General features: G+C 40.3%; 1 protein-coding gene and 1 long non-coding RNA gene across 42 annotated transcripts in view, besides 1 other annotated feature; one reads left to right on the top strand and one right to left on the bottom strand.

Moving 5' to 3' along the window:
• Positions 1–22921, bottom strand: part of DOCK9 (dedicator of cytokinesis 9) — a 295191-nt gene that overhangs the window by 38432 nt on the left and 233838 nt on the right. For 16 of the 41 annotated variants that reach the window (XM_047430231.1, XM_005254034.4, XM_047430234.1 and 13 more), the window contains exons 35-39: positions 21548–21662; positions 18187–18253; positions 16732–16779; positions 14064–14200; positions 5634–5749 (exon numbers count right to left, since the gene is read on the bottom strand). In XM_047430231.1, the coding sequence (XP_047286187.1) occupies positions 5634–5749; positions 14064–14200; positions 16732–16779; positions 18187–18253; positions 21548–21662 (483 nt within the window). Of the gene's footprint in view, positions 1–5633; positions 5750–13468; positions 13513–14063; positions 14201–16731; positions 16780–18186; positions 18254–21547; positions 21663–22921 lie in introns of all 41 variants that reach the window. The other 25 variants (XM_006719937.4, NM_001318849.2, XM_047430235.1 and 22 more) reach the window with 2 other exon arrangements.
• On the top strand, positions 224–2769 carry DOCK9-AS1 (DOCK9 antisense RNA 1). Its single transcript, NR_046663.1, has 3 exons — positions 224–283; positions 1139–1216; positions 2516–2769. It is a non-coding gene; the product is annotated as a DOCK9 antisense RNA 1 (long non-coding RNA).
• Positions 21949–22258: an enhancer, noted in NCBI's record as "active region_7922". NCBI's record gives its function as "activates an Ori minimal core promoter by ATAC-STARR-seq in GM12878 lymphoblastoid cells {active_cell/tissue: GM12878}" and the evidence as "EXISTENCE:reporter gene assay evidence [ECO:0000049][PMID:35858748]".

A 22921-nucleotide genomic window follows, 5' to 3' on the forward strand; every position in this document is an offset into this window, starting at 1 on the left:
GAATTACATTTTCTAAGTATTAAGACAACTTATACTTTAAACAAACTCTGCCTTGAATCCTCTAGGAAAGTACAGAATTCTTTTGTAGAACAAGCAAATCTATCAATACATTTATGTTTTGGGGATGAACCTCCCAGCAAACTAACAGAGTTGAAAGGAACACTTGCTTAGTACTGACTGGGCTTCTATTTATTAATATGTACTCATTTTTACTGTCCACCAGCAGCTGATACAGAGGTGCCATTTGTGACATCTTAATTCCAACAGAGAAGTGCCATCACAGGTATGCGATAATTATAGATGGGAAAAAGTACTCAAGTAAGGTATATGAAACAGGTCTTCGAAAAGGGAAAAGTGATCTCCCCAGGCCTCTAAGGCACTCTGCTAAGCTATGAATAATCAGAGAGTTTGGTAAGGTGGAAAGTGTACAGGCTTTGGTCAGGTACCACTTATCATAGGCATGAATTTGCACAGGTAAACTGAGTCTCAGCATCCTCATCTGTAAAATGATGACCCTAAAACTGACCTTGAACAGCGACTGTGAAGACATGAGATCAAGTGTAGAAACCATCTGACGCATACTTTGGTCTAGCTCAGTAGGTGGCATCTAGTAGGGTTTTGACATTCGTGGATTTTACTTATCAAAGAAAACAAGAAGACTACAATTTGCTTCTAGTCATTCAAGATTTCCTCATGTCAGTAGAAAATTCACACAAATTAAACACTTTGGAAGCCTGGTTGGCTACAACTCCCATCAACTGTAGAATATACACAGCAGCTAGAGGTGTGGCCCAGCAAGCAGCCAGGATGAACTTCGTGTCTAATGTGCACAACACTAAATGACACACCACCACCTTCCAATACAGACAAGCTGTCTGAACAAAGCTCTGTTGGGGAACGATAGGTGTGTGCATTCTGCACAAGTAGGCAGATTTGACATTAATAAAAAAAAATGTCAAGAGGCCAGTATCTCAAACCAATCTTACAATTTGGCCAACGGAACAGGGGTAACTTATGTCCATATAATTTTGCTACATAGCAAATTATGGTTGCGGTCATAGTTTCAGAGCAAGATCTACCTTGTCTTGTTGTTGGAGGGAAATTTTTCCTCAAGGAGTAAGTTTTTGTTTTTTTTTAGGTCCAGTGAATTGTGAATCTATCACAGCTGGCAGAACACCTGGAATTCACAGTGATCTTTCTATCATGAAATACTAAGGTACCATATTGAATTCCGTCATGTGAAAGGGGAGCAATTTAATGAGCAGAAAGTGGGACTAATTAAATGAATATGATCTAATTCTCAACCATGAGAATTAGTTCTCAACCATGATCTAATTCTCAACCAAAAAAAAAAAAAAAAAAGATTTCCAGTGTTTGGGGAACTGCTTACAAGTTTTATCTATGAATGCCATTTTCTCAGGAGCTGTAGTTTGAAAGCCTTGCTTTCCTCCAATGAATTTACATTCCTAATTATGACTGGATTAAGGTTTGGGTGAATCTGGAGGTGAGCTTTCATTTCTTAGCACTCTTTGCTGAGGCTATCCAGGAGATACGGTTTCTACAAAAATTCCCAAGCTTCCAAGTTCTGCTGTCTGAACTGGCCCATGTTTCTAATGTTTCTCCACCTTTCCCATGTTTCTCTACTTCAGTTCAATTTCTCCTCCTTTTCCTCTCTATGGTCATGGCCTTTACTTCTCATTTTCAGGATTCAGTCCTCTTCAGCCCTGATCTCAAAACTTGTTTGCAAGAATGGAGTTAAAGCTCATTTACATTATGTATCCCATAACCTGTTGTAAACCTCAAATATATACAATAAAATTTATTTTTAAAAAGACGTAAATAACCTCCACTTAAACAGGTAAAGGACCTTTTGTCCCAGACACACCCCGGTTTCCTAACTACTTGCTTTTATTTTCCAATCACTTTTCTTCCCTCTTTTTCTGTGTCTCCCTGCTGCCTTCTCATCACATAGAAGGTAACATACACTAAATACAAACACATCTTTGAACATTCAGAAAGCCTCACAGGGGACAAAAAGAGCAAAACACAAATCACCCTTAACTGTTCCACTCAGAAATATCCACAGATAACAAGGCAGGGTTTCTTATTTCTATCTTTTTATCCCTATAAACTCTTGCTGAAGATGGGAAATTTTCACTTAGGAAAGTAAATGACATATTAGAATAATATAAAGGCATGGCTTATTTCTAGCAATACAGTGGAGACTGCTTCTCTAGGAATTCTCTGTCTTGGATTCAGGTTTGACCATTGTAACATGGTCTCTTATGGTGCTTAATCCAAGAGATGAGCCTTTCAGAAAATGAATGCTCAGTATCAGTAGTTTCTAAAAGATCCAGGAACACAGAGGAAAACAAATCTCGGGTGTCAAAATGAGGTAACTGGAACGAAGTTAATTTAAGACGGCAAACTCTTCCCAGTCAGACAGTTTTATGTACACAATTATTTTAAAATAACGTTAAAAAATCAGTTTGCAGAAGAGCCATTTCTGTTACAGATGCTTGCCAATCACTAAGACGACCTAAGCCTCATGTGTCTGCCGACCAGGCTCATTGTTGTGCAAAGCAGATCACAAGCTGCCTCGCAAGCCTCCGGTGCCCATGTGCTCCTCCCTGTCTTGGTTCCTATTGCTCCTGATTATGTGTTAGTCCTCACTGTGCAGTTCAAATCAAGAAGAGGCACTAAAAATGGAACTGCTAAAAACACATTTCCAGATTAAATCTGTGAACACATTAAAAATATTATAAACTACTTGAAGTCCAGCATTGGTTTGGGATTGTGTTAATAATAGACATTAGAAAAACCAGATTTTTCTGCATGTGACAACCTGTTTATAAAACAAACCCTTTTATGTACTAAGTGAGATAACATGTGTGAACATGTCCAGATTTGTATATATCTGATACCTGCTAAGTGTTTGGTAATTTTCTTCTTCTGTCTGTATAAGAGATCATTCAAATACCTTGATCTTTACTCAACTCACTTCATCTTTCTCTCTCATACACACACACACACACAAACACACTCACACACATCTGTCTTAGTGGTGAACAAGACCTTTGGACAGGTCAGTTGTGTAGTGATCTTGGGCAAATTTCCTAATTTCTCCCAGCCACGACTTCCTCATCTGTAAAATGTGGGATAATTCGATCTACCAGGCAGAGCTGTTGTGAAGATTAATGCCTGAGGCACAGAAGGCACTCAATACATAGCAGGAAGCTCATGTAATAATAATACCAGAATTCTGAGCTTAAACCTTTCAAACATTTTATCTTATTAGGAGATTGATTTCTGGATTGTCTTTGGCAATTTATTAGATGTGGCCAATTAAGAGAGTCAGTAACCACAGAGCTACACCTGCTAAAGATGACTTTCTTGAATTATATCAGCTCACTCACTGTTATATCTCTTCTGATATGGTCCAACTGATGCCTGAGTAAATATTTGCAAAGAAAGATCCCAGTGGCTGCGGTGCCAATGGACCTCTCGTATCTGTGAGTCTAAGCCAGGGAAGCCTGTCTTACCACATGGCCCAGCATCCAGTAATGCCAGAGAGTGCACCATACATTCGCCCACCTCCCAGCTGGGGGGAGGTGAGCTTTAAACAGGAAACATTTTTTGCATGCAGGCATATAAACCTGCACAGAGATCACCTTAGCTCTAGAAGCTCAATCTTCCTTGGGTGTCTCAGGGATCAGGCCCTTTGCCACAGGACCAGTGAGGAGCAAACACAGGTAACAGTGCTACTGTCAACCTGGAATTCACATCTGAACTCCTACTACCTTCCCATTCTGAGACTGGAGGCCAGATATTTAGAGATCCAGGAATAGTGACAAATACTCTTCTTTACAACTCTTTTTTTTTTTTTTTTTTTTTTTTTTAGACGAAGTCTTGCTCTGTTGCCAGGCTGGAGTGCAGTGGCGAGATCTTGGCTCACTGCAACCTCCGCCTCCTGGGTTCAAGCGATTCCCCTGCCTTAGCCTCCCGTAGCTGGGACTACAAGCGCACGCCACCATGCCTGGCTATTTTTTTGCATTTTAGTAGAGATGGGGTTTCACCATGTTGGCCAGAATGGTCTCGATCTCCTGACCTCGTGATCCGCCTGCCTTGGCCTCCCAAAGTGCTGGGATTACAGGTGTGAGCCACTTCACCAGGCCCCTCTTCTTTACTATTAAGCAAGCAACTTGAAGGGGGCTGAATTAGAACTGCAGGCTGTTCAGTTGTTCAGTAAGGAAACCGTCACTGTTCTCACAGGTGCCACTCAGACTGCACTTGTGCCCCGTGTGCCTGTAGCTCACCCCATGATACTGCTCTGCAGCTCCAGAATTTTCTGCTTATTTACCTGGTGGGGCACAGGAGGAGAGGGGAAGAAGGTGTTGCTGCTGCTGTTCTGAACTTAATGATTCATGTTTGAGACTGATACAGGTGTGCATGGCCAGATATTCACTTTTAAAACCTTCCTTGCCTATTTACTAAGAATTTTTAACTAAAAATACCCAAAAGAAAAGAGAGGCTCCGAAGCTTCTTTCATGTTTCTAGTAGAGGCACTGTGATGTTCAGGTCTCACACCCAGAGTTTCTGATCCAGTGGGTCTGGGGAGTGGCCCAAGGATTTCCATTTCTCACATGCTCCCAGGGCTGCAGTGGCTGCTGGCCCGGATACCACACTCTGAGAGCCCCTGTAGTAGAGGCTCCAGGTAATGAGGCGCTTCTACCCCGAGCTCATTTTCTTTAAGCTCTCATTTCCCAGTCTCTCAACTGGGCTCCTAGTAATGAGTTTCATGGGGACAAGAGAGGGGTGGCGGCTAAGGAGAGTAAAGGTATATAATAATAAAGGGACACGATGTCAGGAAAACTCTCATTATTCTTCCTAATAAAGGAATGTGCTTTATGAGTAGTGGAGACAAGTAAAGCAGAGAATGACTTGGGTCCTATTTCCCAAACACCCTTGCAAATAAGCAAACTGTTCCAATATTTATGGCATATAAACACTCATTCAATTTCTCCTTTCTATGCTAGAAATGGAAGTAATCATTTAGCAAGAATGAGAAGTATTGGGTTCCTAAAAACAGGAGAGTGGCTGAAGAGTCCATCTCCACCTACTTGAATATTATTTGCTAAAACTTAAAAACAAGACAAAAAAAAAACCCCTTTCATTTTCTATCTCCAAAACGTTTTTATCATTTAATGCAGTAACAGATAAAAAACTGAAAACATGTGTCTGTGTTTATTGCTCCTTTCTACATAAAAATCTAATTAAACGCTATAACATTTGGATATATTTAAAGATATTCAAGGCAGAAATGCCTGATTAGGTGCCTATATTCACCATCCTCAAGGTTCGAGCCAAGAGTTAACTGCCTCCAGAGACCGTGTTTCCACCATACCCAAGCGCGCAGCACACACTGACCAGTTAAATTTTATTTCAGGGCATTCAAGCCATTCACTGTGGAATGATTTCATTAAAGGAATTTAAAGATTAATGGTTTCCTTACAGGGACAAAAATAATTGCTGAAGTAAAAATGCAACATAGTAAGTTTGTGCTCACTGAGCTTACCAAGCAGAATGAATGTGAAAGGTAAAACTAGAACCACGAACAGCAAATTGATACAAACCTTAAACGCCAATGTAAATAGAGAAAGCGTGTCCAGAGCTGTCAGGCAAACCTCAGTAGCAATGTTGGCTTCAAGTAATGACTGGTGCAGAACATCTGCGTCCGAGTGGCCATAGCCTGCATGAATTACAACACAAGATTACTGCCCAGTGGTTCAGAAGGCAAGGCTGGCAGGATGCGGTAGGCACAGTCAACTTTTGATTATTCAGAAGGCCCACTTTGGGACCTTGTCTCTGTGTTTGCCTTTTTTTTGGGGTGGGGGGCGGGGTGGGAGGGGGAAGGAAGGGAGAAAGTAGTAATAATGTTTCAATACAATTATAACTTTTTTCCCACTCTGAAAGGGCAATAACCACAGCAAACATTTATTATGCACTTGCTGTGTACCAGCCACGATTCTATGAACTTTACACATATTCTCTCATTTAATCCCTCAACAGCCCTGTGAAGTATGAAGATTGTTGAACCCTTGGTGGAGATAAGGAAATGAAGGCACAGAAAGGCTAAACTTGTCTAAAGTCATACAGGTAGTAAACAGTGGAGACAGGACTTGGACCAAGACAGGCATTGATCGATTCTGCTATCCAGCAGGAGTGCTGGCAGAGGCTAAGATTTCCAAAGCTTCCCATGTAGACGGAGGCAGCAGCACAACGCAGGTTAAGAAAATGAGCCTGAGATCAGGCTGCTGGTCACTGAGTCCCACTCTGCCACTCACCAGCTGTGTGGCCTTGGCAAGTTATTTGGCCCCTTTATAACCTCAGCTGCCTCATCTGTAGAATGGGGATAATACAGTATCTACCTCAAAGGGTTGTGGTAAGGATTAAATTTGTTAATATTTGTGAAGCTCTTGGAACAGTGCCTGGCACACATTGAGCGCTATGGAGGTGTTAAGTCAATAACTTCAGGAGCTATGTTATCAGCAAGCTCGTGAATGATAATCAAGAGTTGACTGCGCTGTGCATAGTATTCTACTTGCTTTAAGAAAAAGCATAAAAGCCAACATGTCTGAAAGAAATGTTTAGAAAAAGAAAAGGACTTGAAGAATCTGTCATTTAAACTTAGCTTAGTCACACCTAATTTAAATACAAACGGATATCTTCTATATGTGGCAAAATCAGTTTAGTACTGATATAAATGCAATTTGACATACAAGTTGAGATTAAATTATGAAATGGTATGCATTAGCAGAAATACATATAGGGATGCAAAGATGTTACAGTATTGATCTAGATTACAAAGAAAGATGGCAATATAATAAAACACCATGTAATGTCTTTCTCCAAGGAGCAAAATTAAAGCGACGCCTCATTACTTAAGTAATTTTCCTAATACTCCAGAGAGGAGGACATTTTGTACATAGATCAAGAAAATGAAGTACAGAAAACCTAGGGAATGTTCTTGAGACCAGTAATGGGAAAAAAACAGAATCTACACTCCAAATTCCTTATCCAGGTCACTGTATCATAGTACATATTATTGGGAGAAAATCAAGTAACTAGCATGACATCATTCTGACTCAAATGTCAGAATTATAGAGTGGTTTTTAAAAGGCTACAGAAGAGCTTTAAAAGCTACAGAAGTGCTTTTTAAAATATGATAGAAATGCTGTTGTGTGCTTTTATCCAATGCTGCTTTGCTTTTACAAAGGTGGTGCTGAGATCCTGTTGTGGATCACATCACTTCCACTCTGCAGCACAGCCAACGTCTCTCCAAATTTAGTGAGGATCTGTAACACATCTCGCACCATGCTAGTTCTATTTCATTTTTTGCTTTTGGGGTACGAAATCTCCCAGAGAAAATAAAGGTGGATATGTTGGGGTACTAATGTTACTTGTACTGCCATGATGGTAATCCAAGGCATGACTTTATTCAGCGAGGTTGTTTGGTAAGATACAGAGACAATGAAAGAGGAAAACAAACAGGTCGATGATGACTGTTAAAGTGATCACATACTGTGGTAAGAGGGCACACACAAGAAATACAACACCTGTTATCAGACCAACCAAAATGATCATACAGGTCCAAGGGATCCTTTCCTGAGGGCTGCCATTTGCCCCGAATGAGTTTTTGTCTGGGTTCAATTTTAACAAGGAACTGGCTTTATTTTAATTCCTTTCTCTGCAAAGAACTGTCCTTTTCTTGGTCTAGATCACCAACAGGTGAAGTGCATCTAGGTGATGATTACCAATGAGATGGCCTGAAGAACTCCCATAGAATTTAACTACTCCTGGCTGAAAGCCTGCAACAATTAAAAATTAGAATTTGGCCATGTGCTGTTTTAAAACATACCATCAATGGACTATGCTAATTAAGTTATTATATAATTATGTATACACATATGGAAACATGGTACTGGGAAATGTTATTACACCATCTACTCTCCTTTAGAGTCAGATTCATACAGACATCGGTACGCTTGCCTGAGTCATACAGGAATCTAAAAGAAATGGTCCTTTTAGCCACATATTGTTATGCTTTGCTTTTCCTCCAACTGTTTCATCTAAAAAATCAGCAGGATTCCTGAGCTAGAGCTATTTTTTTAAATCCCTAAAAATAATTGGCAGCATAGAGAGGCTGAACCAGTCACAGAGACTGAGACTGTCTCAAGGCCTGGAACAGAGCTGTGCAGGAGGAGGACTTGAATCAACAATCACCATGGTATAGACCAACACAGGAAAATGAAGCTGAGCTAGTAAATCCAAGAAGAGGCAGAGAAATTATTTAAACTAAGGGTTGGCAATGTTTTGAAAGCTGATTAAGCAGCTTTTGACCCGGGCAAGTAAGGAGTGCGGTGTGAAGCACACTGATTTCCACTAGGGGGCCGTGGTGCCTGGGGCCCTGCACTGATTCGCTCCAGCCAGGCTCTTCAGGGACAGAGCTGCAGGACTTCTGCAGGGACGTGCTATCTCTGACACACATGCCCCGGGATGCTTTACGGTCCTTCGGATTCACTGCTCAAATTTATACAATTTTCATTCTGTTGTCATTCTGACAAGACTTATTCTAAAGCCCCCAAATCTTTCAAATACTCTGGGGCCACAGATGAAATTTGTCTACACTGAATTAACCTAACCCTGTTCTACAAACTCACGTTACCTGCATAGTTCAAATGAATAATGCTGACACATCGGCGAACCTCCTCCCTCCCCACCACCATGACATCAGAGGTAATGTGGTGGGCAGGACAGAAGCCTGAGGCCACATGCCTTTTCTGAATACCAGAGGACATTTGGGATAGAAGAGTAGGTCAGAGACGTATTCCTATAGGGGGCACTTCCATGTTGATAGCCACCTTCACTCTTTATGCAACCAAAATTCTTGTTCGTATTTTGACTTTTTTCCCCTCTAGCCCATAACATGAATCCAGAAACACAGTAAGTCTTATGAGAAAATATAAATACCAAATAACAAGGAATTTTCTTGCTGAAAGAACTCTCCAAATGTAGAAGACCTAGTCTCCTAGATACCTATTAACTCATGGCATATGGTTTTATTGAGTTCAAACATTTTTGCAAAATATCAAACTGATCAATATCTACACAATCTATTATTCATTTCCATCCAATTTTTATTGCTAAAGAGGTTTTCCTCACAGACTGGCAAAGAGTAGAGAATAGAATAAATAGTGATACCCCAAGGTAAAATTTATATCATTTGATATCTGCCCTTTGATCCACAGACAAAAAAAACAAATATGCTCAGAATGCCTTGTGGAGACACGGGCTGTAATCTAAGAGTTTATGCTTCAGGAGGTAGGCGTCATACCATCAGCTTTCTCTTCCCTGTGTCTTTTTTAAACCTAATGTTGAGTTGCATCTGAAAGTGGGACCTCATATGAAGTAAAGGCCCCAAGTGAAAATACTTGGTTTAAACATACCACACATCTTAAAATCCTCTGTAAGGATATTACAAATGACTGACTTTAAACATACACTGTATCAGACCTGCTCACCTCTGAGACCCCATCAATTGCAAGAAATACCAATCAATGACAGACTACCATATCCAGTGTAATGTGTAAGATATACCCAACTTTGGAAATACTAGAAAGTGTGCAAAAATGTGCCTCAGAATCAAGGAAACATATCTCAGAATCAAGGAAATAAGTGTCTTGTTTATGAACAAAATTTTTTTTTTTTTTTTTTTTTTGGAGACGAAGTCTCGCTTTGTCACCCAGGCTGGAGTGCAGCGGCATGATCTCGGCTCACTGTAACCTCCACCTCCTGGGTTCAAGCAATTCTCCTGCCTCAACCTCCTGAGTAGCTGGGATTACAGGCATGCACCACCATGCCCAGATTTTTCTGCATTATTATTATTATTATTATTTGTTTTTAGTAGAGACGGGGTTTCACCATGTTGTCCAGGCTGGTTTCGAACTCCTGACTTCAAGTGATCTGCCTGTCTCAGCCTCCCAAAGTGCTGAGATTACAGGCATGAGCCACCATGCCTGGCCACAAACATTTATTTACTATTTTGAGTATATGTTTAAAGCATCCAAGCACATTTTATCCAATTTTAAAGATATATTATCCATGCTTTAAAACTTTTGGAAAATATTTTAACTCAGAGATGTCTACATTCTCTGTATTTTTCATATTAATTCAATATGATGTACAGTAAAGGAATTTAATGATCACCTATATTCATTTTCCTGCTTGTGCTTTAGGTAACAAAGACATTTCGGAGTTAAATGGGGCCTGACAAGCCACGCCATCCAACTCCTCATGGCATGCTTAAGTGACCTGGACAATACCCCAGCTGGGCCTCCTCCAGTCTGTTTGCACAGCTCCAGCTGCAGGTGTCCACATGAACTTCACAGGCAGCTCAGCACATGCCACTCAAGGCCAGTTCAGTTAGAAAATACTTTCTGATTCTGATCTGAAATATTATCTGCAACTTGACCCAGTAATCTTTAACTGCCTTTTAGATCAAATTATATGAAATCCAGATTTTCTTTTCATGCTGCTACCTCTTGGCTGGTGTTCCCTGCATTATACCAGTGGAAAATATGAATTATGCAAATGAACTTGATGTATTCCTAGAACAACACGACATCAAAGTAAACATAGTGTTATTTTATATATATTTTGCAAATGCACCACTTATTTTCAAACACATTTCACTAAGTTTTCACCTCATAATGTGGTTTATAGACATGCACATATATACACATATGCATGTTCATGTACCTACAGTGTACCCTCTCTTTGTGGTTTTGTGCTATCACTCTCAATTTTTTATTTGACACAAATCTCTTCCACTGATACACAATGAGCACAAATTACACTAAATATGTCAAGGCCTAAGTGTTCTAAAGTTTATTTTCCATACACCTGAGTGATGGCCTAAACAACAAACCTGTCTTTTAAGGGTGTTTTTCAAATAGCTAAGACTACTTGGCCATCACGGGATTTGGGCATGGGGATTTGCTATTCTACTTCCTATCAAAATTAAAGAGTAAAGACAGGTTCTTGCTGGAGTTCCATGTGCAGTGCGTGTGGTGCCTTCTTCCATGTCCTGTTACCAGTGGTGATGGGGACAGACCTACAAAGGATTCCGTTTCCCATGGGCCTCTGCTGCTCCCTGCTGGTCAAGCTGAGTTCTGACAAAGCCTTTCCTACTCTACAGAAATAGCGGAAATGAACAATGCAGATGTACAGGGACTCTTCCTATTTTTATTCTCTTCTGAAATAAAATCATTTTGGACTCCTGGGGTTCCCTGGCAACTTTCTCACATATTGGATCTATGTCATATTGGTTGGCCCAACAGAAGGTATTGTATTTGTTGTTAAATGGGATTTTTTTTAAAGACATATGGCCATAAATTTCCCAAAAAATACCCAGGTAGAGATGAAAACAAACATGTACATATATATAAAACACACACACAAACATGTTCATGTACATACAGTATGCACTCCCTTCTCTGTGTTTTTTGTCTGAGTTGATGATTTGGAGCTCAAAGAGCTAGCGGAGGGAAAAGCTGAAGCCATTCAAACACATAATGAGAATTGGAGATGTAAAAGAAGGCTGAGTTCTAGGAGTTGCAACAACTTAGGAGATAACAGAACCAATTCGGAATGAGCAGGAATTGTAGGAATGCAGGCGAGGACTAGAAGAATCAGCTACATGCTGTTTACTGGCAAAGCAGGAGAAATGTGACTGAGGACAGTATGCCACTGAAAACTGATGAAAGAGGAGGGAGACAGGAGGACAGGGCTCTTGTGGGTAGCAGGAAGACAGAATGGAAATAAACCATGTTAACAAGATGGCTTTTGGCAGCAGCAGCAGCACCAGGCCAGCTGTCTCTCTCCTCCAATTCAAGTTACCACCACAAAACCCATTTGCAGTGGGAAGAGCTGCTGCATATCCGAGTGGATTAAGGTTATTTATTCACATGTGGACCATTCATTTAATTTTTGTTTTCTGTGTTTCCTAAATGATTATCATTGGAGGTGCAGCACTGGTGTACTTATGATTTTTTAAAAAGTGCTTCAAAGTTTAAGCATTTATTTCAACCAATAGTGAGTTAACCTCTGTGTTATAGAAATTATCTGAGCAAAGGAGGTCCAGCAGGTTCTGTTTATCAGTGGGGATTGAATTTCTGCTGCTAAATGGCAAAGAAAAACTAAAAATAACAAACTCCTGGTTTTGTTCCAATCCCTTTCTGCAGAACTAGTCAAAGCCCCAACAGAAAAGATGTTAAAAAATCAAGTACTGTAGCCTTAAAGGTGTCACTCAATTTGCATTCTACAGCTAAGTGTAGAACTCAGAAGTAGCATTTTATGGCTACCAACTCCGTGTGGCAGACTGACATTATCTAAATTAAGCCTGGGATTTTATCAAGACAGACTATCTTCATAACATTTTTTATTTTTTTTATTTTTTTTTTGAGATAGGGTCTTGTTCTGTCACCCAGGCTGGAGTGCAGTGGCACAGTCTTAGCTCACTGCAACCTCAGCCCCCCAGGTTCAAGTGATTTCATGTCTCAGCCTCCCCAGTAGCTGGGATTACATGTGTGTGCCAATAAGCCTGACTAGTTTTTGTATTTTTAGTAGAGACGGGGTTTCACCATGTTGGCCAGGCTGGTCTCGAACTCCTGGTCTCAAGTGATCCACCTGCTGCTTGGCCACCAGCAGCTTGGCCTCCCAAAGTGTTGGGATTACAGGCATGAGCCACCATGCCCAGCCAATCTTCATAACACTTAAACTGCACCCGGACAATCTTCATAATGCCCACGTTGCTGGGTCAGAGGTGTGGGAAGCTGCTTTGTTTTGGTTCCTCAGGTGTCTTACTTTGAACTATTATTAATACAATGCATTGGGAACACTGCCTTTACTGTTGGCCTGTATTTTAAAAAGAGGTGTGAAAAATCACAGCGAATGGAATTTATTATTAGACATGATGGAAGGATATTAATAACCATGTATTAAAGACAGCACTTGGAATAACAAATAATTGTTGAGATAAAACAATAACTAGCTGTGTCATGCTTGGAGAAGAGATGGAACAATTTAGAGAACACAATGCTAGCAGAAATGGGTATTATAAATGATCTCATCAATTTTTCACGTGCTGTATGGTTGATATCTTTCAGGTGTTCTGCTTTGAGAAACCCTTAAGAAGATAAAGCACTTAAATTACTAGAAACAGCACACAATGCCTTGTCCCCTCTGCTGACTGATAAAAGTAAATTAAAAATATGCTCCCCTGTTCTGGCAGAATCTCTTTTGTAAAGTTAGAAAGCCCCAAAGTTAGGAAGGCAAGATGAACAAAAAGGGTCTTGGCTTGCAAGTGAAGCAACCTCATAAAGCAGACTTCAACCTGATTAAATCTTACCATTGTCTACAGAAATTCCAAGCACACTTGATATCTTTCTCACACTGAAAACACAGAAAAAGTCACTTTGTTATTGGATGCTTTTCCACACCCTCACAAATTGATTCATGGGCTTTATGTTTTCACAGTAGTGCAAGGATTAACATCCATTCAGAGCTGGAATGTCAGAATGTGGACGCTTGATCAATTACATGCACAGGATCAGAAGGGGTGAAAGAAATCCATCCCGAATGTTCTCAGAGTTGCAGGGGAAAGCCAACATTAAGTCGGTTCTAGGTGATGAATCCAAATTTTATGTTTAGAATTCTTGAGAACGGCTGGCTATGGACCCAGCCGAGTTTTGTTTTAGGGATGCAGAAAGGGTCAGGCACTTTTAGGTTTAGTGCTGTAGTTGAGCACGTTCCACATTGTGTCACTCCCAAATGCTGAGGACGCTCCTCCAAGGAAGGGAACTGTGCCATGAGCTCTTCATCCTACTTGCTTTGAGCTAGAAGAAAAATTGAGTTGGTGATGTGGTAGGTGTGGCCTAGGGCTCTCCCCTCTGAGATGGCACATGAGATGGCTGGCTGTTACGATGGCATGTCATGGGACTTACTGTGGTTAAAAGTGAGAGAGTTATCCAGGCTGCCCAGCTGCTGCAATCTGGCATGCATCATTCCTGTTCTGTTACGGGAAACAGGCAATGTCTGAGACTTTCGATCATGAACTATGGGTCCCAACCCCTCCTGGTTCCTGCAACATGAGTGAAATGGGATAGAAGCAAAAGTTAGACGTGTTACACTGCAGCGAGACGGGGAGTGTTAGTGAAGCCAGAACATGGCACGAGGGAGATGGCCATGCACTGACTGAACACAGTGGAGCAGCCAGAGACACAGACAGGCGGCAGCTCCTGCACACTTCACGGCAAAGCACCTGATGATCCAGAAGCAAAAATCAGGCCAAAGCAGGGACCTTTTTATTTTTAGAAAGTACTTTAGAGATGCTACTCTGAAAAAAGTGAGCATCACTCCAATGCAGTACTAATGGTTAGTGTTCTGACGACTGTCAAAACGTCACTAATCTTTTTGGATTATATATGTTCTGAAAAAGCAAAAGACATGTATTTTTTTTAATTAAAAAATGCATTGGAAGACACAGAGAACAAACATGCAAAGGAAGGGATTATATGAGTTTTAACACCTTTATTCTTACCCAAGCAGGAAGGAGAAGAGCCACACACTTTGTTAAACTTGTCAGCAGTCAAGTAGAGAAAACAGAAGAGTGATTTGGGTTAGCAATCAAACAGCTAACTTCCTGCTGTGTACCATCACCAGAGCAGATGAAAATGAGACCAGGGCTGCAATGACACCTGTCCCCTGTCCCGGAGCCAACCGTCCCCCTCACTGTGTTATTGTGTGTAGGAGAACAGGGACATGCATGGACTATCATCGACTGCATGCTGCTGGGTGACTTCAAAGTGACAATAAGAAGGCACAGTGTTCATCAAACTCGACCACCGTGGATGGCAAACATGTACAAGGTTCACAGTCTAGTTCAGGATCTTTTTCACATGCAGCAGAGAACCATGGCAATTTTTGTATAGAGCAGAGCATATCTTTCCACAGTGCATGGAGCAAAGTCACATCATCTCCACTCCTGTTTTCCTTGGCCCATCTATTTTTAAGGCAGTCCACACTTTTATATGCAAATATATACAGGGTGCTTATGAAGTAGGAAGATTTTCTTTTAAGAAGTTAAATTTATATCCACTGAAAAAAATACGTTAACCATTTCACAAAACCCGATTCTAAAACATTTTGTTGGGACAGAAATCTTCAGCTTCTCACATTCACTGTTTTAAGCTGTGAGGCATTTTATTCTACTTGGCACAATATTCTCCAAATGCCATCTTGTGACGTAGGTGTCACTGCAAAAAGTGAAGCTAGCCCAGCACAGTGCCTTTCTGTGACAGAATTTACTGTTTGCCCATCTTCATGGGACAAAGTCAGGGAGAATCCAAGTCAAGGTAGAAGACGTTGCTGGTATAAGGACACCTTGTATATACTTGCATTTAGTACTCCAAAACTCAAATATAAAATTACTGTTGTGATAAAAAATAAAACAGTTAAGATTAGAGAACTTTAAGTGCTACCACATTTCAATGAAAAATAGAAAATATTAATAGGAGGAAAATGCAAAAATTCTAAATTTGCTTCTTTTAAAAAGAAAACATACATGTTTACTTCTTAACATAAAATGTAATTCTGAAAATTTCTCAAATATCCCCAGAAAAGAACAATGTTAACAGAAAAAGAAAATCTTCACAAAGAGGAAGTCTACTAAAAATCTCTGGCCTATTTCATCACTATAAGACAAAATTGTCGATATATAGAGAAACAAACCTCAATGACAATTACATTTTTAAGTTTTTCTTAAAACATGTTTACTTATAATAAAGCTGTTAAAAACAACAGTAAAAAAATATAATACTTAGACCAAGACCCCACTAATACAATAACACAGAATGGCTCACAACACAGAAAAAAACAAACAGACAATCTGAATGGCAGTGGGGCAGGAGGAAGAACTTGGTAAGGACAAGAGGTGCTGCGAAGAAACGCCCCCAAAGAAGGCGTGTCCAGCCACACAGCTGCAAGGAGTTTCTAGGAGGCTGGTTCTGCACAGGAAAGTGGGAGTGACGCTACTCACCAGGGAGTTCTGGCCAAGAACATGGAGCGTTTACCAACTAGTCAAGAGTAGGAAGAGAAAAGGCTCCATTTTAGAGAAGGTTTGTGGAAGTCCACACAAATTTGGGATGGACTGAAAACATTCTTTCATTAAGAAAGAAGAAGAGTGGTTAGGTGAGATTTTAGTATCTTTGTAGTTGGGAGCAGGAACAGTCAAAATGACCTTGGAAAGTCAAACAGAGGAAGAGAAACCACTGAGGAAGGAACATAGGAAGAAGAACTGGGGAGAAGAGGATGGGAAGGAGACAGAACAGAGAAGGAGGGGGAGTTTGGACGAGAGGATGGAAGGGTAGACACAGCCCGCTAAAGGAATGCTTTCCAAGAGATAACACGTGAGGTGAAATGAGACTTCGCCGGTAGGAATGCAGACCAAAGACACTGCCAGGCTCTGCGGTGGCAATCCAAGGGCCTGCCATCAGTCCCCATGGCCGCTTCCATGAACCCCAACTGCCAACCGCCACTGATGACCAATCCCACACAATCAGAGCCAGGCATCACAGAAAACAACACGTTTCGAATGAAAACGCCCCACAGTACCTGGCTATGTATCGCTTCCCCATGTACTGGAACTGGTGCAGGCAGACTCTGCAGGCAAGATGAAAAATTATTAGGGAAATGCAAAGATAAAATTATTTTCGGGACGTTATTTATCTGTTAACAATAACAAATTCAATAAACATTATGTCTAGTACCAGCATAAGTCACATCCTCATTCATTCAGAATGGTTTTTGGGAGTCCTCTGGAAAGTGCCTTCAAACCCAGAGAAATTTATTAACCTGTGAGGGAAGCCCCATCCTGTGTAGCTGTCAGTGTGGTGGTGGCTGGCTAAAGCAACACAGCGCAGAGGCCCACGACCGACAGGATCGTCCATCGACTCAGAGGTAGTGATTCACTCCACGGCAGTGTGCCCGAGAAAACATGTTCAAGACCATGCACACTGTTCCAAGTTACTTATTCATCCTCATTTACATCTATATAAGGAGCTCTCTCTTTTGGCTCAAATATATGGATTATACACACCAAGTGTGTAGTTTTTAAAAATATATATCTAACAACATTTTTTTTTAATCATGTATTTAATGAGGTAGTTAAAACAATGTCTAGTGAGCTCCTCTGGTGTTGAATCTCGTTTCACCACATAACTCCCGCCTTTAACTCAGCAGAGGTCAGGAGACTATGAGCCAAGCGTCCACTGAGGGCCAGGCCCACAGTCTCTCATCTGTAGTTCCAAAATGCATGAAACTCTGAAAACCAGCTTTCCTCCTGAGTTCATGCAAATACATTTGGCACCAAAATATGACCCAAAATAATAGACATAAAGCTACTTTTAGTTATGATTTATTCAATTATTATGAACAATAATAGTTCTGCAGAAATTCTTTTTTTTTTTTTTATTATAGAGAGATGCTGCTGGGATGTAATGGGATACAGTCTATATGTAAATTTTTCAGAAATCCAAAAAGTTCTGAATTTGGAAAATCATCTGGCCCCAGCAGTTTTGGATAAGGGATTGTAAATTCACGTTTCTAAAAGTAAAGAGCTTAAAGGAAATCAGAAACTTATACTGACAAACCAAAATGAGATAAAGATGCTACATAAGATTTCACTTTTACTTCTTATATTTTAAAATTATAGCAACTTTTCTGACTCAGTTTCTGCATCAGCTTAAGTTAGGTTCAACTTAGAAAAGCAGTATCTACCCAATTCAGCTAATAAATTTCATGTTATTTTATTAAGATGACTTATACACATAAACAGTTACCTCTCATGTAAAACAGGCACGTATCTGTAATACTTTAAGGGTGACCACTGATCACTGGGTCACAAGCCCTGAAAATATGTTTTAGGGCCAAGACCATGAGAAAGGGCTTAAGGAGTAAGTGAGGATGTGACATACACTACTCCTCTGGTTCAACTACATAGTATTCTTCAAGCCTCTTAATGATCCAGGAAAAAATCAAGAGGCAGTGATCAAAGAGAAAGCTACTTACTCAGATATTGTAAAAAAATCCATAAGTTCAGATGTTGAAGCCTTGTTCCAATATGTAAACAAAGCATCTAGAAAATAAACATTTACTTAGAATCACAATACATATGATATACATTATGGAGAATCACCTGTTGTGAAAATGGGAAGGAACCTTGGAGTGTAGGCCTCTAAACCCTGGAGTGTAGGCCTCTAAACCCTTCCCCTGCCCTCTTTTATAGCTGACCACTCTACACTGGGTATCACACACCTGAGGCCTATTCACCTTCAACATGCTGCATTTGAACTTTAATTCCATCATACGTCATTTAGTGCTATATTCTGGCATAATGCTCATTTAACTTATTCGTAACATGCTCTTAAATAGACTAGAAAATTCAAAGAATACAAGTGGACATATAACCTAAAGCCGGGCTCTCTTGTCTCCTACTACAGGATCTCTCCCCAACAGGGAATTTGTTGAAAATCTTTGCATATTACACACATAATTTTGCTCTCTGAGTTTTAACTGAACAATATAGCTTGGATCTATCTCAAGTTTTCCCAAGTTGCATAATATTCCTCTATGTGGATAGACCATAATTGAGTTAACTAGTCTCCTACTGATAGGCAGTTACTGTTTCTCTCCCCTAACTTTTTGCTATTATAATTATGTTTCAATGAACATCCTTTTATGTGGGTCTTTGCATGCATGTCTAACTATACCTACAGGATAAGTTCTCTGAAGCGAAACAGCTGTACCCAATGGTATGTGCATTTAAACCTCTGTGTGAACCCTTAACAGTTTAGTATTACCATCGTTTGAGTTCTATCATCTAATAGCTAACCTTTTTTGCATTCTTATATTTTACACTGAGGTTGAGAAATAGGTAAAGAGGTTTCTCTTAGGGAAAAAGCCAGAGTCTTTGGGGCCTGAGATAAGCAGAGACGGTGGCTATGGGGATGCTGATGGCTCATGAAGATGTATGGCCACAGGCTTTCACTCTACACTTGCCAAGAACAATGATAGGCAGGAATGACATGGCATATAGACTGAGAATCTGTTGTGTGCCAGGCACTGTACTACGTGCTCTCACAATTTCACATAGATTGTGCCATCTAATCCTCACCATAATCTGGGGCAGAAGAAAGTCCCCATTTACAGATGAGCTAACAGAGGCTCAGAGAAGTAAAGTAATTCTCCCATTTACCAGTCTGAAGAATCATGGCTGAGTGGGGATTTAAATCGCGTGCATCTGATTCTAAAGGCCGCTTGGCCTATTAGACCAGTAATAAGGGTAGGTCATGGGCTTCCATCTTTAGGGGTTTCAAGTTTAGATTCCAGAGGAACAGACTCTGGCTACTTGAGGCTGGCCATCAGGGTATGGTGAGCCCCCGGGGAGCTCAGTGCATGCTGGAGAGCCTGGTGGGACCACCCTGCAGACCCCTGTGGCCACCCTCAGCACACACCAGACGAAGCGGCCAGCGGCATGGGCAATGACGCTGCCATTCACTGCTCTGGGCCCCAGGTACTGGTTGGGGAGAGTGGGAAGACAAAGATAAGCTCTGTGAAGAGGGAAATGGCACAAGAAGGACAGCAAGGAGGGGCCCAGCATGTAGAAGGTGCTCATTAAATGTGGAATAAATGAAAGAGTAGCTACAGAGTTACACAACTGATTTTGGTTTTCTCTGTGTTAACCATCTCTGGAGGCAATTTCTCCCCCTAACCCATATGACACACAAAAGCCAATTGTAGGTAGATTTTTAGAGTTCAATGTGAAAATTTAAATAACACTGCTTTCAAAGAAAATATGAGAATATTTTCATGACCCTGGGAGTAGGAGAAGATTTCTTAAATGGGATGCACACACACACAAATTCTAATTATAAAGGGAAAACAATCGATAACTTGAAGAAAATTGAGAGAAAAATATATTCTAAAATTGTTTTGAAGAGGTGGTTGCATTTTAAAAATATGTGTATGACTTTAAAGAATAACTTTTACTTGAATTCAAATGTTCTTGTATATTTGTCTTCAAAAAGCAGTTATGTTCTTATTATAGGTCATATTCAATATTTGAAATTTAAAATATTTTTAAAGAAAACTTTAAACAAAGGAAAAACAGAATTATAATGCTCGCTGAAACTCATTATTACCATGAAGCAAAGTTTAGAACTTTTGACTTAATGGGAAGAATTTCAACTTTATAAACCCAAATATGAGACTAAGTGCCCTGTGCTAGTGTATTTGGTCATCATTCAGGGAAACTCTTGCTCGTCTGTTCTTTTTTAAAAACTAGCATTTTAAAGTAACAAATCAACAGAAGAACGAATTACCCAGTCTTTATTTTAAGGGCAAGAGGGATTTTCCTACCATCTGAGCTAAAAAGTCAGGCTGTACCTTGGCTGGGGTTGGGGAAAAAAAAAAGCCAGGCTGTTAATGCTGCTGAAATGGAAGCTTGATCTAAAAGAAATACTATTTTCAAGCAGAAATACCTTCCACTGGATGTTTAGTACACACCTCCCGCCCCCAGATATAAGCAGCACAAGAGGCCTTCAGGTTCTCAAAAAATGGCACTTTGTTTTTAGGAGAGTTCATCCTAATTCAATCACCTTAATGAAGTTCACAGCACACCTTTTAATTCGTTGTAGGAAAAATAAGATTTTTGCCCAGGATAAGAACTGCGACATTGTTTACTGGGATTGTTTATATTACATAGCCAGATACACAGATGAGCTAACAGAGTTGAAACTGTCCTGTCACACACATTTGCAAGCCTTATACGGTCCAGATAGAGCATTCATAGTTCTGCTCATTCTTATTTTAAAATGTGGTTGTCAAACCCTTAAACAGAAACATAATCTACTATGATACTACCATTTCCATTAGAAAACTAAAATAACATATCTCCCACTTTGAGCCAGGAATATACACACTCTAAATGGAAGGAATGCTTAGGTCCCCCCACAACATATATTCTAATTCCAGAGACTAACACAGTTATTTAAGTTGACAGTAAGTTTGTCTGGACGAATAAAAATTTTTTTTAAAGCCAAAAGCTATTTTATTTATGTGCTTCTATCTCCTTTAGTTAAGATGGCAGGTCCCAGTTTAATATAAATTTAAGAAATAGGCCCATTCACATTTTGGAACTCATTTTCTAGAATAAAATAATTAAGGAAATGATTTTCCCACAATAAGGTTCTTATTTCTAAGAACCTTAGTCAATGAATTGCATTTTAACAATTACATTTAGTCAATGAATATGCATTTTAAACAAGAAAATCCTTTGAAATCTTTGTATCATTTCAACTTATTACAAGTTAAAACCAAACAAACCAAGTGCTGAAACGAGCAAAACAGAAATCTCCATTTTTTAACCTACCATCAGACATGCTCTTTAAGATGTAGAGGAAACACATCAGTAGGCTCTTAATCTCAGACTGGTCAAGTTTATCACAGCGAACCACGGAATTTCCCAATGTGCTACTTTGTTGGTGCTAAAAAGAAAATACAGGTGATTTTTCTATTTAATTACGGGAGGAAAACGTGTTTCCCTTTTCTCCCTTGGAAGAGAAAGACTCTTAGAATCAAGTCAGATCATACACATTGGAAGGTGCAAGTAACTTGCTGACAATTAAACCACAGGCACCCTTTCGCCCAAATATAACACACTCAGATGCTGCCCATGGAAGCCCTAGCTTGTCTCCTCAGCACGCTCTCCTGAGGGACAAGCAGAAGGCACAGACCTTTCTCACTGGATAAACACAGCTTTAGCTATGCCAAGTAAAACCTTCTGAGATGCCAAGTATATTGAAACCTCATGCAAGAAAGTATGTGTGCTAGGATCAAGAACAGAAACCATGACTCAGAAGACACTGCACAACCAACCACCTCCTGAGGACAACAGCCGTGGCTGAAACAGCAAGTGCCTGTGGTGCTGCTGTGACCAAAGCACCCCAGAACCTGGAGCCCAGGCGCCATCACCCAGGGTGCATTATGGGGCGTGCTGTGGGCACTGCTCAGGGAACACAATAGGCAGGTGCCCAACCGGGACAAACAGGGACACGTCAGCACAGCATGGCCAGAGGTCCTAAACTGATGAGGTCACTCCCTCATCAGCTTAGCTCAACACTGCAAACGTCAGAAAGCTTGGGGCAAACAAGAGGGCAATTTTGCCACTAGGCAGCAGGTTCTTGTGGAAAAAAAGCAGAACAAGAATCTCATCATGTGATTGCAAACACAGGAGATTTAAAAACTCTCCCAGTTGAATTTCCAATTGAAATAAAAAAAATTTTTTTACCAAATATCAAAGCAAAAACAATAGTGGAAAAAAGATGTTTTATTCAAGGTGCTGGTGGCCAATTGAAAAAAAAATTATGCGTGTGTGTGTGTGTGTATATATATACATATATATATCAGGCTTAATAAAATATGTGAATATTTTCATTTACAAAAAAATACAGGGGAAATTAGTGGCAAAACTGGTATGGATGCACCCTCTGGCCTGCCCACTTGATCAGAGCCACTGGAGAACTTAGTACTTCCGGCAGTGGGAGGGAAGGTGTTGCATTCAATGTCTCCTCTGGCAAAGGTGGAATCATTAGAAGGGAAAAATCCACAGTGACCCGGTTTTTCCTGGCTGACTGGCAGCTCTCCTCCTCCTCTTCAGCACTGCGTATGACACAAGCAGAGTGCCTTCGGAGCAGCTTCTCCCTCTATACATGAAGGCATGTTGGGGTCAAGGGAAAAGTTCAAT

The sequence above is a fragment of the Homo sapiens genome, chromosome 13, assembly GCF_000001405.40.
Source record: "Homo sapiens chromosome 13, GRCh38.p14 Primary Assembly".
NCBI lineage: Eukaryota > Metazoa > Chordata > Mammalia > Primates > Hominidae > Homo > Homo sapiens.